A 13,045-nucleotide genomic window follows, 5' to 3' on the forward strand; every position below is an offset into this window, starting at 1 on the left:
ATCACTTCCTAAATTTATTTTTCCAGGTCCGGACCCTATTTGTCAGTGGCCTTCCTCTGGATATCAAACCTCGGGAGCTCTATCTGCTTTTCAGACCATTTAAGGTACCTTTTTTTATCTTTCAGAAATTATAAAATGAGACAAAAGTCTGTATGCTTTCTGGGAGCTTTTTGAAGCAAGAAATGAAATATTTGAGAAGAAAACAGATGTTTTTAAAAGGTTAATGAGTAAAGGAGATTTAACAACTGAGTTCTAATGTACAGTCTCACTTAGGATAATTACATATTTATATTTCAAATGCAGTAATGTAAGTGAAGATTTATTTCTAGTTTCATACCTTATTATTTGAAATAGTACTGTTGATACTGTTCTTTGGAAATGTAAATAGGTTTTTATGAACTGAGTTAAGAACCTAACCACCGTTATTTTTTCCATGGCAAAACTTTCAAACAAAGTAAAACAAAATTTTAAAGGATACCTAGGTGTAAGTTGATGGTAATATTTCCTGGTGTTTATTGAAATATTTAATGCAGTTACCTGTCCTTCCTATGGAAATAAGATCACTTGATAGATACTTAATGTTGCTAGGATTGAAAACTTCATAGGAAATTAAACACCAAGCACTTCGTAGAAACTAAGCCAAAATAGCCTTGCTGCCAAGAAGAAACCTTTTGAAGGTTGGCCTTTGGAGGATAGGAGAAAGCTGGAGCTGATCGAATCGGGGCCCTGGAAGGGATATGTTCCTTCTCTGGAAGGGCCTGTGCTCAGGAAGTCTTAAGTTGGTCAGTGTGGATGTGTTAGCAGCAGTGCCTGGCAGAGACCACACTTATGATTAGGTGATGGGCTGTCTTGATTTCTGGTTAAAGATCATTCTCACTGAAGCAGGTCCCCAGTGATAGAGGCATGACAGGTTGAGGGATAGGATTCAGCTTCTTAGGAAGACGGAATTGGATATGACAACTAAAAACTCTAGTGTTGGGGAGGAGGAAGGAGGGATGCAGGGGCAGCCAGTTAGAACCAACAAAGATAAAACAGTCTAGCTTATGTGCCAAGAGGGCACCATGTCATAAGGGACATAAGTCCACCTGACAGCCATCGCTTTAATGCAACAATAATGATGATGGCACAGGGAAACAGAGGTCAGGTGCCAGGTCAGGTGGGAGGAAGTGGGAAAGGAAGAGAAGGTGGTATGGAGAGAGTGCCACCTTTTATAGAATTTCCTGAGTTTCTTCTGCCGGGTTGTACTTTTATAAAAAGGACCATTTTTCTATCCTTTTTATAGAATGCAAACTTTTAACGCAAATTGATCTTCTTAGTGTATAAAATACTGTTATGTTTTGGGGTGTATAGAGAGAAAGACATTCACCAGCAAGCCCTTTATATGAATTATTAAAGTATTGTCACAATCCTTTCAAGTGGGTGAGTCTCATTTTTTCAAATGAGGAAAATGAAACTTGGAGCTGAATAAATTGTGCTCAAGTTTACACACATAAAAATTGGCAGAGCCAAGATTCAAACCAAGCAGTCTGACTCTGCCCTCTCTGTTCTGAACTATTATGTTATACTGCTTTTCTGTTTGTGACTTGAGAACACAGTATATCCCTACCAGTGGTGTTTTACTTGAGTGAAATATCCAGTTGTCCTTTGCCTTCAAGACCTTCATGGTGTTTAAACCTCTAGTTTTTTCAGAAGAGAGCACCTTGAAGAAAGGAAGAGGCAGAGCTGTGAATCATGACCTCTCTGGCCATAAGAGCTCAAGGCCTTTGAGGTGAAATGTTTATAGTAGCTAATTGGTAACATAGTTCTCTGCTGGGAAGATGTAAGGATGAATCAATCTCAACATCCTGCCCAGAAACCCCGACTAGAAAGTCAGCACCCTAGTACATTCCTGACAACCCTCTTTTAATTAAAGTCCCTGGAGGCTGACCCTAGTCTGCAAATCTGTCTCTGCGCTGATGTGTGTAGTGGTCAATCACGTCAAGTGGTGTGTTTTTCCCCTGTGTCGTCCGTTAATGCAAGCCACCAGCTATTGATTATTTTCAGAAATAAACACATTTTGTTATCCTTATCTTGAGGAGCCGGGAGGGGTGAAGAGAGGGAGTGAAAGAGGGAGGGAGTGTTTCTGTCTTCCTTGAGCATGAGCTGGAATAAAAACCTGAAGGGATTATTTTTGCATGTCCCCATCAGAAGAGCAACATGAAAACTGGTTCCTTCAGTAAGTTAGCAAAGTAACTCAACAAAATTCAACATCATTGCCTGCTTAACCATTTCTGGCAGTTTTGAAAATGTGGTCAGGGAGTTTTACCAACTATATTTTTTTGAGACGGAGTCTGGCTGTGTCTCCCAGGCTGGAGTGTAGTGACGCCATCGGCTCACTGCAAGCTCTGCCTCCCGGGTTCATACCATTCTCCTGCCTCAGCCTCCCAAGTAGCTGGGACTACAGGCACCCACCACCATGCTCGGCTAATTTTTTTGTATTTTTAGTAGAGATGGGGTTTCACCACTTGTCGATGGTCTCGATCTCCAGACCTCATGATCCGCCCGCCTTGGCCTCCCAAAGTGCTGGGATTACAGGCGTGAGTCACCGCACCCAGCCCCAACTATATTCTTAATGTTTTATTGTTGTTATTTTATAGCAGCTACATGACCAATACATGGCTCTGACCTTCCTGTTGTATTAAATTTACCCTCTTTCCTTGCCTATTTCTGTAAAACTCCTATTCTTATCTAGACCAAGAAAACAAAAAGATTGCTATTAACAGAGACACTCATTTTTCTACCATTGTGTAATTTCATGAAAAAAAAATAGAAGGAAGAGAAACACAGATAAATCCATAGATTGATTTTTTTTAAAGGCCCCAAGAATGCAAACAGGTGTGTGTGTGTGTGTGCACATGCACATGCATGTGTGTAATTTGCTTTCCCAGATAACTTAGGAGACATTTGTAGGAGGAGTTAGGTAATCAATAAAGAACTTATTTTTACATGAACAAGATGGTATTACTACAGTTACTTTTGGCTAAACTTGGTTTTTCTTTATTTTCAGGGCTATGAGGGTTCTCTTATAAAGCTCACATCTAAACAGGTAAGAATTTCAAAGTGGCATATAAAGATCACTTTTTTACTTTCCTCAGGAATATTGCTGGGGCTTGACATTCTTTTTTTATTCCCATTAGAATTTGAGGGGTTTTTTGTCTTTAAAATTAAAAGTGAGATGTATTAGGAATTAGCACAGGAAAATACTTCATAATTCTATAATCTTCAGCTGGAATTTCAGGGACTGTCCCAGAGGAAGATAAACACAGTGATACATTGAGATTGATTTTGTATGTTCAATGAAAATAGTGGTTTATTATTTAAATTCACTTTTATTCCCAAGTCTTTCCCATTTCTTTTAATGAGGTTAAACAAACTTTTACAATCAATGTGAATATCAGATCGTGAAGGATCATGCTGTCTGTCAAACCCCTAAATTAAGGCAGAGTCCCGAGTCCAGAATGGAACAGAGAACGTACAAAATGGAAGTGGTAGTCAGTGATTCTAATAGTTCCTACAAGCTTAGAGATTGTAGCTATATACTTTTTTTTTTAAGCTAAACACTTGGCATACACACCTCTCGAATCACTATTCATCTCTCTGGCTCATGAGAAGAATGATCTTGGAGGCACCCTTCTGTACTGAAAGATAGGGAGTCCAAAGGGATTATGGCCTTTCTGTATTTACTCAGAACAGCCTAATTAAGAATATGATTTTTTTTTTTTTTTTTGAGACGGAGTCTCACTATGTTGCCAGGCTGGAGTGCAGTGGCGCGATCTCGGCTCACTGCAACCTCCGCCTCCCAGGTTCAAGTGATTCTCCTGCCTCAGCCTCCCAAATAGCTGGGACTACAGGCGCATGCCACCACGCCCAGCTAGTTTTTGTATTTGTAGTAGAGACAGGGTTTCACCATGTTGGCCAGGATGGTCTTGATCTCTTGACCTCGTGATCCGCCCACCTTGGCCTCCCAAAGTACTGGGATTACAGGCGTGAGCCACCCTGCCCAGCCAGCACAGGATTTTTTAAGGCATCCCTTAGGATTTGAGATAGGAATGTTCACTTTGTAATTTTGGTCATGCAGTGAGAGTCCAGGGGTTTTATCATTGTGTCATTGTATTCTTGCACTTACAGTGTACCAAAAGGTGATTCGGTTCTCTTTCCATTTTAAAAGATGAAGAAACTGAGGTACAGTGAATTTGATTTAGGAAAGTAGAGCCTCTCCAACCCAAGTTTTCCTCTATTCCCTTGTTCACTGCTGTTCACCTTTCAACCACTTCTAGATTTTTTTATGATTCTCTAAATCCCCAGCTGTGCTCTTGAAGAACTACCCTCACCATCCCTTTGATTCATATTAGAAATTTGGCTAAGCCACTGAGTCATGATTCTTCGGGACTTCGCTTTCTTATTTCTGCCCATTGCCTGTGGTCATTTCTTTATCTTAGCTCTTCAGTTTGATGTCACCCTTGACCTAGAAAAGTAGACATCATCTGATTTTTTTTCTTCATATTTCTCTTTTTTTTTCTCAGCCTGTAGGTTTTGTCAGTTTTGACAGTCGCTCAGAAGCAGAGGCTGCAAAGAATGCTTTGAATGTAAGTACTAATGATGTAATTGTAGGGGGTTTCCATATGAGGTGGTGGGAAGTAATGGAATCTCTTTGGACGGGAAATCAAGTGGAAAGAATATGACTGCACAGTCTAAGAGGGAGGGATTCATCAATTTAATTAGCACTCTAAAGAGCTTTTTCCAAGAATTGTGATCAGATATGCAGATTATTAAATAGCACTCTGCTTTTTGATTGCTCTGAATGAAATGCTCAAAATATCTGACATCTGATGATGTGGGTCTTATTTTAATCTAGCCCCATCCCATCCAATGGTGGTGCGTAGTGCTGCTTTGTTTTTTCCAGAGGAGATATTTGAGGCGTTAGCTTGCTCATCATTATACTCTAAATGACTATGCTCAGAATAGATTGAAATCCTGGCTTTTTTTATTTCATGAGGCTTTCCTTTTAGATATGCAGCATTAAAAAAAAAAAACTGGTTATAGCCTTTATTCTGGTTGATTAAAAATTTACATATAAGGCTTTCCCAAAAGACGTGTGTTGTAATAGAATAAATTACAGTCATTTGTAATTGAGTAGATATATCTGTATTTGGTTTGTAGTTATGTTGTTTGCCATGTGTTTTGAGACTTTTACCAGTATTGTTTTGGTGAATATTTTTCCTCCTTAGTATGTTGAAAAACTAAACAATTTAAGGGAACTAAGTTAGAGAAGGTGGAAGGAAGCAGAATGTGGTTTCAGATGCTGAGGATGAATCCTCAGGTGAGGAGTCTCAGCGAAGGCTGGCTCCATCATGCTCTAGGCAGTTGGCCTAAGTGGCTGTGAACAAGTGCTGACTGAAGCACTCAGAGTGTTTAGGGTGCTTCCTACAAGGCAAGCGGCCACTTGACTGGTTGTAATACAGGTACCATTTTGGAGGCGTCTGGGAACTTGCGTCTGGCCTTTGTGTTGCTGTGGTACCTGCAGGTACCCCTGGCAGCTGCTCCTTTGAGTAGACCATGCAGAGTGCTGTTGGAGAGACCTGATATAGGTGATGACTTAGAGGTCTAAGGAAAAGTCTTTATACTTCATATAATGGTGTCATTGATACACAACCTTAAAAGGTTTTTAGACTTTGGAACAAAAATGTGTACACTCTGAGAAGAAACACCTTAATTCTTGTTGGTTTTTCATATAAAGCATATAGGAACATCTTAGGATTCCAGGAATTCCAGAGTCCAGACTTTTTCTGGATTTGGATAAATGACCTTCTTGTCAGAATAACTGCCTACTCACTCTGTTCCTCTCCTGTATAACAAAGTATAAACCAATTATTTATTGAGCACCAGTGGTATACACCGAAGCACGGTGTATAATTGAATGTTTTGATATAAAAGTTGTTTTATGATTTTTGCATTGAATACGTAAAAACCAGAATTTTCTCAGTATAATGACACTTTAAACTTAAAAGTAGAACCACAATTTCAATTTAGCAGTGTTTTATTTTAACCAGGTGGGAACCTTCTAAATGCAGAAATATTCTGGGTCCTTTAAAGTTATGTTAGATGAAGTTTTCACCATGTTCTTTTCATTGTTCTTACAAAGGAAGTAACAAGCAGTTGAAGCTTCACAGACTTGGCTCTCATTGCTTTACTATACTTCTCCTATGTGTATAAAGATGTCACTGACTCATTTTCTGAACAATAGGCTTTTATAGTGACCTGTCATCTGACAAGGCAACATTCCCTTAGGTGTGGTAGGTTGCATTTTTGTTTTTTAAAGATAACTGAAGGGTTTTGTTTGTTTGTTAAAGAATAAAGACATGGTGTTGCTGTATTGCCCAGGCTGGTTGGTCTCCAGCTCCTGGACTCAAGTGATTCTCCCTCCTTGGCCTTCCAGAGTGTTGAGATTACAAGCGTGAGCCACCACACCCAGCCTGAAGTTTTTTGCTTGTTTGTTTTTGTTTTTGTTTTAATGTTTAAATGATAATAGTCAAAAAAAACTGTGTTTCCTCATCATACTGAGTACAGCGAACATAATTTCAATTTTTCTTGGTGCCCAAAGGTTATCATTACAAATAGCAGGTAATGAACCTAGTGTAATATAATGATAGAGGTGTTTAACCCTGTTTGCCCCTGTGCCAGCTGGCCGCAGATCACTGTTGTCTGGTCTTGAGGTCTGGTTTTAGGTTATTCTTCTTGCACTAGGCTCTCCATTCTTTTTTTTTTTCACTGGCAGTACGCCTTTCTTTAGCACTGTCCTCTCCTTTAATCATTAATAGTTTGCTACTTATGTGTTAATAACTTGGGAAGGACCCCAAATAAAACAGGTCTAATTCTGTCCTGTTTTGTGGGCCTGAGGGAAAATTCGTATTTACCTATGGAATAATGAGCCTGGGCTTTCTGCTGCCCAAAGCTGACTTACATAAGAGTGTAGGACATTTACTGAGCTCCTGGCTGATCTCTTTCTTGACGTTTTGAACTTTTCTATGTAAAGTAGTAGAGGTATTAGAAATCTTTCCGATGTTGTAGTTAGGGAAACAGACGTGGAGAGGATGGGTGATTAAGTCAGCATGTGTAAGTTTAGAGCTCCAACTAGGAGGCAACTAAAAGTAAACTTCTTGCATCTAAGCCTTGTCCATTTTATACAACATCCTTTTGCTTGCTTTGTACATGGGATGTTGCTGCATTTTTCCTTGTGGCAGTTACAGAGTATTTAATTCACAATGTCCAGGACAAATTGCCACCATAAAGTTTGGTATGTGACCATGGAGCAGACCCATTCAAGGTAATGTATTTAGTCATGAAGCTAATAGGTATATTCTTTGTGATCCAACATATTAGGCTCTTTTTAGGGTCATCTTTTCTAATTGATGAGTTAAAAACATATGATGCTTGTAGCCATTACAGAATTTTCTCCTCCCATGTCATCTGTCCAGGGTTCTCTTAACATTTTCTTACTTACCTTTGGAGAGAGAATTCAATATTGTAATGTTTTGTTTTATTCCACTATTGAGAAACATATGCCTGAATCCAGTAAATTTCTCTGTGTATAATACTTCAGTGTTATGAACGACTTCTCCATGTTTAATTTCTCTTTTTGTTGTTTCTGTCTTGATTGCTATCTGGTTCAGTTGTTAGTATTAGTGATTAGTCTTTTCTCAAAATGACTAATTTTTAAAATCTATTTTCTCATTTTTGGACTGGGCTTCAGCCATTTTGATAATTGTGTGGAAAAACATGCTCAGATTGAATTAAGTTGTAACAGTGAACTTTTATCAGGGAATTAAACCTTCTAAAGTTAAATACAGTACGTTTTGTTTCTATAGCAAAAAGTCCCACGTTAGGCAAAGAATAACCCAAACCCAGACTTCTTTTCAGGTTATCTTTGGTCTCATTAATCCACATCATTAAAAACCCCTCCTTTCTTTAACCTGACAGCAAAATATCTGACCTATTCTTTGTCTTTAACTCACTTTGTAATTTCTGTACCTGTTTTGAATTTCCAAGCTAAAGGAAGGGGGCACTGAAAATCTTAAGTATCAAATTATTTTTAGGACTTGTTTATAATTTTGGAAAGTAAATCAAATTCACTAATATAGGCAGTTAGCTAGATTTAGGAAAAATTCTGATTTGTGGAAATTTTTAAACGGGACACAGGAAGCAGCGCATGTTGAAGGGTAAAGATCCCCAGCAGATGTGGGAGTAAACCATCTAGCTATTTCCAGCAACTGTGAGGACCTCAAATTGTCATTATTGTCTAGTAGGAATCTTGTTTTTATAAATAAGAATGATTTGTAGTTAACCTTCAATTCAGGCTTGTGCATGATCTCTGCTAACCTAGAGATCTCTGTAATGACCTGTTATGGCATTGTTTTGTCTTACTGGTGTTTGGAAATTGGTCATTACTTTAAAAAGTTTTGGACTCTTTAGTATATGTGCCATTCATTTGCTATCCTTCCTTCCCTGATTTTGGATAGTTGTTATTAGGCTAGGTTTTATCTTAGACTGTATTATGTTACACGAGAACTAGAGAAGTCTGTACATCACTACAAATTGCCTTCCCAACCAAAATTGCTTAGGCTAGTGTAGTAATTTGCTTTACTCTCAAACTATACTCATTAATCTAAGTGATCTCTAATTATCAGTGAACCTCCAAGTTCAGTGTTGTTTTTCTTCCAGATAGCTCTTGAGATGTAATTTGCATATGATTCACCCATTTAAAATTTTCAATTCAATGGCTTTTGGTATATTACATTATTTTTTTTAATTACGGTAAAATACATTTAAAATTTTGCTATTTTAATGACTTTTAAATGTACTCTTTCTTGGCATTAATTACATTCACCATGTTATGCAATCATTACCACTATTTCCAAACTTTTTCATCAACCCAAGCAGAAACTCTGTAGCCCTTAATGCAGTAAATACCTCCCCATTCTCCCTTTTCCCCAGCCCCTGGTAATCTCTAATCTGCTTGCTTTCTCCGTGAATTTGCCTATTCTAAATAATGAAATATTTGTCTTTTTGCTTCTGGCTCTTCTTTCTTAGCATAACATTTTTGAGATTCATCCACGCTGTGGCATTTACCAGAATCAAATTCCTTTTTATAGCTAAATAAAATTGTATTATATGGATATGTACATTTTGTTTATCCATTCATTTGTTGGTGGACACTTAGATTGTTTCCATGTTTTGGCTATTGCGAATAAGGCTGCAGTGAACACTGATGTGTAAGTATCTGAATCTGTTAATTCCTTTGGGTATACCTAGGAGTAGAATTTCTGGGTCATGTGGTGATCATATGTTAGCTTTTTGTTTACTTTGGTTTGTAATTTTTTCCATAGTGGTTGCACCATTTTGCATTAAAAACTTGTTCCTGTTTGTAAAATTATAACCATTCTAGTAGATACGAAGCAATCGTGGATTCTTGCTAAATGCTGTTTGACTGATTTTAATAGTAGATTTGATTTCTGTAGGAATTTCACATGACTTAAAATGTTTCTTTTAGCAGGGACAAGTAACATTTCTGTGACAGTTCTAAGTAATGGAACTGCGTTTGTTTTACCTGTCAATAAGTAACAGAAGGGGGAAAAACTCAACCCTCATATTACTCTTTTAATAAGACAGAACTTGAAGGAAAGGTATTTTCTCAAGGTCTAAATAGATTTTAGAATAAAGAGTTGAAAAGCAGTTTTGTTTAAAAGAGGTAAAATGGCTGCCACTCAGACTTCCATTGCAAAGAAACCTTAACAATAAATGGAAAAACTGTATGTAAACTAAAAATATATAAGATATTAAATTATTTCTTGACTATTGAAAAATTTTGATTCAATAGTATTTGCAGTTAAGAGAGAATTTTAGAAAGCTTTAATTTGTAAGAAAATATGCTGAGAAAAGACTTAATAGTGTCAGATGTTGAAAAAACAGCTGATATGATCAGGAAAACTTAGCCCTATTTTCATTTCCATAAATTCCTGGCATTCAAATAAACACTACAGTTATTTATAAATATCACAGTGATTACAGCCTTGTACATAATTTGTTATACTAAATAGTTTGAGCTTTCCAACTACCAAGGTTCTTTACAATTAGATATAATTAATTCATTAGTTCTATACCAAGTTTCTCATTTGTGAGATGGAGGTATTATTTACTTCGAAATGGTAAAGGGAAAACAAGCAAAAGCATTTGCAAATGCTCTGTAAGTAAACCTATATCATGAATGTATTTTCTTGGCCAGAAGTACTGGTACAGACCGTTAAGTATGGAGGGATACCAGGGCAGTCAAGACCTGCACTGGGTACATAGAAACATTTTGGCTTGGTTAGACAGTCTCTGTTTCCTGTACCACAGGTTTTCCTGACAGCCTGTGCAAGTTAGGACTTTTGATCTTAATATTTGTACAGCTTGTGAGTTAGGTGAATTATTTCCACCAAACAAAACATTTTACGAATATAAGCATCCAGATGGCCTATCTCAACTCCCATGGCCCCCACCAGACACTATATCAATATGTTTCTTATCAGTTTTGAAATTTTCTCCTTAAGTTTCATTTAGCATATTGCTGAAAGTGGGTTAAAGAGGCCCAATTAGTGAGATCCCAGCTGGGACTTTTAGATGGGAAATATGCAGGATTGCCAGATGAGATCATGGGCCTGATCTAGTGTTTATCTGTTAAATCTGTTTATAACTGCTTAACTCTTGACTTGCAGACTTTTAAGGCAGCCATTTGACGTCACAGGGTTGGGAACGAGGCTTGTGCCAGTATAAAGCCGCTGTGATGTGGGGCCATTGGGCCCTTCTGTTTTTCTCAACTATGTGCATGCACTTTGGAGCTTGACAAACAGCCGTGTCCAGTGAACTCCCCCCAAAGAAAATTGAAGTTGACTCACCGTGAAAGGCATACCACCAAAAGTGACTCCTAACCCATGTACAATTCAGAAAGAAAGCACTAGTTAACAAGTGCCCAGTGTGTGATTATTTAGTTCTAGAATCTGTCCAGATTTTCTTTGTTCTGGCTCTGTTCTCTTCATGGTGGCCCTGCAGTTTTTAGATGTTATAAAACCTCCCTACGATTATAATAGCATGTAAGTTAAAAGTTGTTGTGAAAAAACAAATGAAGATGCATTTATAAGTAGTCTTCAGTCTTTGCCTGAAGAAGAGTAAGTTGGTTATTTGAATTTATGAAGCATTTACATAGGAAACTAGAAAATAAAACACTAATAAAAGCGCCTTGCCAGGAGCAGTGGCTCACGACTGTAAGCCCAGCACTTTGGGAGGCTGAGGTGGGCAGATCACCTGAGGTCAGGAGTTCAAGACCAGCCTGGTCCAACATGGTGAAACCCTGTCTCTCCTGAAAATACAAAATTTAGCCAGGCATGGTGGTAGCCTGTAATTCCCTTAGGAGACTGAGGCACGAGAATCACTTGAACCTAGGAGGCGGAGGTTGCAGTGAGCCAAGATCGCACCACTGCATTCCAGCCTGGATGACAGAGCGAGACTCCATCTCAAATAAATAAATAAATAAATAACATAAAAAAAAAACAAAAAACAGGGTTCAGCCCAGGTCTGTATCCAGTGCCCCTACTTTTTACCAGGCTGGCCAACATGGTGAAACCCCGTCTCTACTAAAAGTACAAAAAAAAAAAAAAAATTAGCTGGGCATGGTGGCGGCTGCCTGTAATTCCAGCTACTTGGGAGGCTGAGGCAGGAGAATCGCTTGAACCCGGGAGATGGAGCTTGCAGTGAGCTGCGATCACGCCATTGCACTCCAGCCTGGGCGATGGAGTGAGACTCTCTCTCAAAAAAAAATAAAAAAATAAAAGAATCTCAAGGAAGTTTAAAGAAAGAAAAGTAGTCGGAAATTTTAGTAGCATCCTTTCCCTGGAGAATTAGGGAGGAAGAACCACACGTTCTCACACATGAACCAGTGTATATTCCAATGACAAGTATATGTGGAAATCTCAACTTCACCCAGCTCTTCTCTAGGTAAAACATTTCCATCAGATAATTACATGACTGTGTGAAATAGCTCTCAGAATTTTCCTTATGGCCTTTTATGAGGATCTATTTGTTTAAACTTACATAATTTTAAAACTCATGCCATTTAAAAAATGATACCTCATTTGACCTTGCCCTTTCTCCATGGTTTTTCAGACATTTCAGAAAGTGCTATGAATCTAATTTGCCTCTGTTATAAATGTAAATAGAAAATATAGTTAGTGTTTGTGGAACATGAAGTGCCGAGTGAGTTTTTTGCTAGATCTTGTTTTGGCTGCTAAGATGCCAAGCCAGTTTTAGAACCAAGAAGTCTTAATCTTAATGTCTTGACTGTCTTGACTACCCACATTACTGACGGTTCTGCAGGGCAGCACATTTTGGCAGCTTAAATCACTGTCTTCTTTGTTCTCTTTTACTTTTAGTGAATGATCACATCATCACAGTGACTAGGGTCTTCAGAGTTCCCTTTCACACACTGGCTTAATGCTTCTGATAGTCCATAAGGATTTGAACTTTTGCTCCACAAAGCTAGAACCCTTGGTCTTACTCTGTAACTGGAATGCATTAAAACATTTTAAAACCTTAGGGAGTCGGGTAGGACTTAACCATCTCAAAGACTGAATAAGGTGTTTTGATAGAGACTAGTTAATTATTGTACTCTTTCAAGTATATGCAATATGAGGTATTTTCTTTATAATTAAATGCAGGCTTTTTTTGCTTTTTATAGACATTTAATAATTACATGGATGTGTTAAAAAATTTTAATGAGAAAATTACAAATAGTCAAAATTTTTTATATGTAAAATAAGTGAGGGAGAAGAAAGAGTAAATGTTTATAGAATGTGAAAAATTATATATGTAATACATAATAAATATGAGACTAGGAGGAATAAATGAAACCAAATTTTAGTGAACATTATTAGACTAATCTAGAATCTAAAAGATAATAAAATCTGTTAAAGCTAAC

General features: G+C 37.7%; 1 protein-coding gene across 20 annotated transcripts in view, besides 1 other annotated feature; it reads left to right on the plus strand.

Annotated features, from left to right (window-relative positions):
• Positions 1 to 13,045, plus strand: part of RBPMS (RNA binding protein, mRNA processing factor) — a 187,716-nt gene that overhangs the window by 90,212 nt on the left and 84,459 nt on the right. For 17 of the 20 annotated variants that reach the window (XR_007060693.1, NM_001008711.3, XM_017012981.3 and 14 more), the window contains exons 2-4: positions 27 to 104; positions 3,047 to 3,085; positions 4,563 to 4,625. The exons of the other annotated variants lie outside the window; for them this stretch is intronic. Coding sequence is in view for 16 of the 17 variants with exons in the window: in NM_001008711.3 (NP_001008711.1) it covers positions 27 to 104; positions 3,047 to 3,085; positions 4,563 to 4,625 (180 nt within the window). In the remaining variant the exon portion in view is untranslated. The remainder of the gene's footprint in view (positions 1 to 26; positions 105 to 3,046; positions 3,086 to 4,562; positions 4,626 to 13,045) is intronic. 20 annotated transcript variants of the gene reach the window in all.
• Positions 1,017 to 1,208: a silencer, noted in NCBI's record as "fragment chr8:30333285-30333476 (GRCh37/hg19 assembly coordinates)". NCBI's record gives its function as "represses an EF-1alpha promoter that drives an FKBP-Casp9 reporter gene in an ReSE screen in K562 erythroleukemia cells {active_cell/tissue: K562}" and the evidence as "EXISTENCE:reporter gene assay evidence [ECO:0000049][PMID:32094911]".

Source organism: Homo sapiens, chromosome 8, assembly GCF_000001405.40.
Source record: "Homo sapiens chromosome 8, GRCh38.p14 Primary Assembly".
Lineage (NCBI taxonomy): Eukaryota > Metazoa > Chordata > Mammalia > Primates > Hominidae > Homo > Homo sapiens.